Genomic DNA, 5502 nt, shown 5'->3' on the forward strand with positions numbered 1-5502 from the left:
CATGGTGCTACTCATTTTTGAGATCTGATCATGTGCATGTTAGTCAGGATGTCAGCAGGAAACAGATGGCACTTTCCAATTAGGATAACTCAAGGGAGTTAAATAAAGGGACTCTGCAAAGATGTGGAAGGGTGATCTCCAGGACTGTTTGCACTCCTGAAGGGGTGAGTGGACACAGGAATTATAAAAATTCCTTAAGACAGTCATATGGAGACTGCCACCTGGAGAGGAGATTTGACCTTTTGTTGAGGAATGCAGCCAGGCCAAGGAGAAACCAGAGCTGGGAGAACAAATACCTTGAACATCCTCTCTCTCTTTCTCTCTTTCCAGTTGTCAACCCAGTGAAAGAAGCAAGGGATCCATAAAGGTCAGGCTTTTGGAGACCAAGAGAAGTCTATTTAATAAGAAAAGATGATCTGGAGGGCATAAAAAAGCTATCTAACAGTTTAATTCATGAATCAAAAAGGGGACCAATTCATATGAATGTACTTAATTATTTCCCATCCTTTAAAACTGCACTGTGTATGAAATTATTTACAGAATAGTCTTATGGAAAAAAATGCAATTATTGAAGACTGCTTCTTATATGTGTGTGTGTATGTGTGTATGGTAGTGGTGGGGTGATTCTATTATGCCTTCTTAAATCTCCTGAACTGTATTGCAGGCATCTTAGCTGACCTATTTATCGTCACCAAGAATATCATCGGATGAGCTGGGTCAATTTTAATAACATTTTCTGTAGGATTATCATGTTAGAGTAAACCATAGACCTCACCAAGCAATAAAATTAACCATTAGGAGATATCGTATAGCTCTATAAAACTGACGTAGTAAAGTTAGTATTACCTCTAGATATTATATATTCACAATATGTTTGAGCAAGGAAACCAGGCTCTTTTAAATGATGACACTCAATGATTGAAAGATAATCGATGCCAACAAAAATACTAGAACTGGAGACAGAGACAATTTTCTATTGAATAATCATGAGTTCCTAAATGTGATTCTTATCCATTGGTTTTTAGTAGAATTTTAAGGTGGATATTGCCAGTTTTATATTAGATGACCAATGATATATTTCCAAAAATAGGTCAGATGCTCTCCCTTTGAGTCTGGAAAATACTAACCACATGAGTTAACTTTGAAGGGCTCTTCTGACTTATAGGAGATGAACAATGTTTCCTATGGCCTACACTGAGGAATTTGTTTCCATTCAGACCACAAGCTGTTTCAGTGTATTGTCCCTGTCATGTAATAAATACAAAACAAATATTATTTATTGTTATTACATAGCAAGTTTTAAATTATTCCTTCTCTGTATATATCCTTTTCATCCTGTGTTCTTACATCTTTACAATGTCTTGCTTCTTTCTACCAGGACAAATTAAGTAAAGCTTATCCTAGGGCAGAGATATTCTTTTCATTTTGTTTAAAACCACTACATCTTTCAGGAAATTCAAACAGAGTCAGATTCTATTTGGCTACCCCTTTCCCCTAGAACACTTTCAACTATTTTGTTTTGAGTTTATTGAAAAGTTTTAGAAAATACTCAAAGAAGAAATAATTAAGAAGCCTTGAAGGTGGAAAAATTATGGACCAAATTTTGAAGTCGAGAATGTTCTCATTCGTGTTACATTTGTTTTTTATAATTTTACTTGCTGTCTCTTTGTAGAATTATAGTTATGCCACAGCTATAAATATAAAACAAAGGCTTGGTTTTATAGTTTATTTTCTCTTGTCTAACATTTCCATTGGAAACACTAAGTTTCTGGTTATAAATTTCCTCAGTAGTATTAAGGAAGTCTGCTTACCATCTCAACAGCTAAGTCTGCAGGACCTGAGATGCAAAGCCTCACTCAGATGTTTCTGCTGAACCCTTCTGTGGGTTATTACTCCTGAGTGAATAACTCTATCTTTGGGAATTGTATTCCTGGGTTACTCTTGTTTTTGTTCCATAGATTTTCTGGTAAGGGAAGGAGTAAAGAAAACGTCCTAGTGTAACACCAAACCCCATGTGAGGATGCTCAGAATGGCATAAAGAATGGTAGGGATTAACCATCCGAACACATGGAGAACATTTAGAACAGTATCCAGCAAACGGTAAGTAATAGTTTTATAACAGCAATTGTAATAATCATCAATAGCTTCCTTAGTTGTAGTGTAATAATATAAGGAAGATATATCTCCTACAAGGAAAAAAAGACAGAAAAGCAGCTAAGAGTATCAGGAGGATTATCATTAGAAGATACTCTATATAGAGTTTTCTGTGTTATATTTTTTCTGTGGACCTGGACACATTGTTGTTAGCATTGGGTATCCTCTCATTGCCAGCTTCTGCTTTTGCCTGCACTGACCTTGAAGTAGTAGCATTTTGTCATATCCCTGAAAAACAGACACATAAAGGAGACTGCAACGGTCATGATTCTCCTATATCAGGGGACAACTTTGGATATAAGTATCAAAACCCTTCATGACTGATTGCCCAACAGAGGCCAAACCAAGCTTTGTTAATATAAAGGTTACCTAAGAGACTCATATGTTATGTTTTTGACCACTTACTAAAAATACAGATCTGATATGTGTGTTCACTCTATAATATTTTTGTCCACAGCCACAATTGTTTACTTTCCATGCCGGCTCTTCTCCCATATAGCCAATAAACTTCCTTTATTGCTTCAAGCAAGTCTGCTCTGTTCGCTGATGGCATACCCAGCTCAGCAAGGCTAAAGCCCTATAGTTAACCAGTCACCTCCTTAAACAGGCAGTTCAGTAACCATCCATCATTATTTGAGCAAACTCCTTCAGGGTCTCTCCTCTCACTAGAAACATTTAGCAAATTATTTGTTCCCTAAAAGCAGGGTACTCTGGCCAGACATGGTAGCTTATGCCTGGAACCCCAGAACTTTGGAAGGCTGAGGCAGGTGAATTACCTGAGGTCAGGAGTTCGAAACCAGCCTGGTCAACATGGCAAAACCCTGTCTCTAAACACACACACACACACACACACACACACACCCAAAATTAGCTGGGCGTGGTCGTGTGCACCTGTCATCCCAGCTACTTGGGAGCCTGAGGTGGGGGAATTGCTAGAACCCAGAAGGCAGAGGTTACAGTGAGCTGTGATAGGGACACTGCACTCAAGCCTGGATGACAGAAAGAGACTCTGTCTCAAAAACAAACAAACAAACAAACAAAAGAAACCAAAAACAAGGTGCTCTATAGGGGGAGATAGGATTCTAGTTCTAAGAGAAGTCTCCATTTCAGATTTTATATAAACATGGCAATTTATAAAAGGGAGAAATCGTACTAAAAAGCTCTAGAGGTACCTTAATTCTTTCAAATTGCAAAGTGTACTCTTAGCTCTATTGATTTCCCTTGACCACAAATTTAAATTAGATTGTAGTCATGCATTTAATACATGGCATTAGCTTGGCAGAGTGAGAAAAGAAGCTACAGTTTTCTATATTTCCTTCTTGGCACAATTGTTACAATACTACTTCAGAAAAACCATTCATTTTTCTATTCTTTTTTCTATTTTACAAAAACTATTGTGAAAATAGTACAATTATTCTTTCTTAGTTCCTTTTTTGAAAGATTCACTGTTCTAAAAATACCATTTATATTTTATTCATTCAGATTTTAATCTGCAAATATATTTTAAATATCTATCAATAACCCAATTCACCCAGCACTAAAATATATAAATTATTATCATTTTATTGAGGATAAAGGAAAGATAAGAATAGAAAAAGGAGATGGGAGCCTGCACTCTCTTGAGCAGATACTGGGCTCAATGCAATTTATACACATAAATACATATATATTTCTAAGAAGAACACTGAAATAAGAAAAAAAAAGGAAAAGAAAAGAAAGAAATCCTTAGTTGTTTGCCCAAGATCACAAATAAAAAATGGGAGAAATTAAATTCAAATCTAGGGTACCAGGCTAACCCTTGTGAGTTAATGGGAGCTCAGTTGCTTGTTAAAGTATATCAGTCTAATAATACCCGCAACTAAGTGATAAAAGAATGCAGAAATCCATGTGTGATGGAGGAGCAGGAGAGAGCTTCATAAGGAAGATGCACATGATATGGACCTTAAAAGACAGATCTAGTTTGAGCTTATGGAAGGAAGAATGGTCTCCTCTCTCAGAGTATGGTGATAAGCCCTCATCAGATTAAAGAAGTTGAGCTCTTCTGCCAGTTGTCTCAAAGGTTGAGGAATTTCAATATCATTTGCCATGGAGCTCAGCATTTCTTGGCTATACTAAATCTAGCAGATGCTAACAGACAGAATTGAATGGCTGTAGCCTTCTAGTTTATGAGAAGACTTATAAAAAATTCTCAAAGTCCACATTTAAAACTAACAGGATTAAGTACATGAAATGCAGTGTAATTATTCTTCATTCAGGTTTGTGTGTGTGTGTGTGTGTGCGCACGCACCCGTGCACGCGCGGGTGCACACGTACAAGTGTATTCTCTTAAGTAAATTTTGGTTGCCATAGTGTTAAATGAAACCCAGCTTTATGGAAAACAGTATGGAGGTTTCTCCAAAAATTAAAATAGAACTACTATATAATACAGCAATCCCACTACTGGGTACATATCCAAAGGAAATAAAATCAGTAAGTCAAAGAGATATCTATATTATCGTGTTCATTGCAGCATTATTTACAACAGCCAAACTATGAAATCAATCTAAGTGTCCATAATAGATCAATGTATAAAGAAAATGAAGTATATATAAACAATAAAATATTATTCGGCCTTTAAAATTTTGGGAAATCTTATCATTTGGAATAACATAGATGAACCTGGAGGACATTATGTTGAGTAAAATAAGCCAGACACAGAAAGACAAACACCATATGAACTCATTCATATGTGGAACCTAAATAAAGTCAAACTCAGAACCAGAGAGTACACTGGTTCCTACTAGGGACTAAATTGGGGATTGAAGAGATGTTGGTCAAAAGGTACAACATTTCAGTTAGACAGCAGGAATAAGTTCAAAGGATCTATTGTACAACATGGTGAGTATAGTTAATGACAATATATTGTATACTTGAAAACAGCTAATAGAGTAGATTTTAAGTTTTCTCATTACAAAAAAATTGATATGTATGTGAGGTGACACATGTGTTAGCTAGCTTAATTTAGCCTTTCCACAATGTGTACATATTTTTAAAGAGAACATTACACACAACAAATACATATAGATTTTAGTTGTCAATTTAAAAATAAATTTAAAAGTGGATCTTTGACTTAAATGTGAGTATCAAAAATGAATTCAAGCTTCTACTAAAGAACAGCAACAAAAACAAACAATAGACAAGTTTGTGGAAGAGGAGGCAGAGCAAGATGTCCAAATAGAACCCTGTAACAATTGTCCCCCCCACCCTCACCCAATACCAAATTTAATAACTATCCACCAAATTTAATAACTATCCACCAAAGAAAGCACACTCTTAAGAACTAACTAAAAATCAAGTAAGTAATCATAG

The sequence above is a fragment of the Homo sapiens genome, chromosome 5 (assembly GCF_000001405.40).
Source record: "Homo sapiens chromosome 5, GRCh38.p14 Primary Assembly".
NCBI lineage: Eukaryota > Metazoa > Chordata > Mammalia > Primates > Hominidae > Homo > Homo sapiens.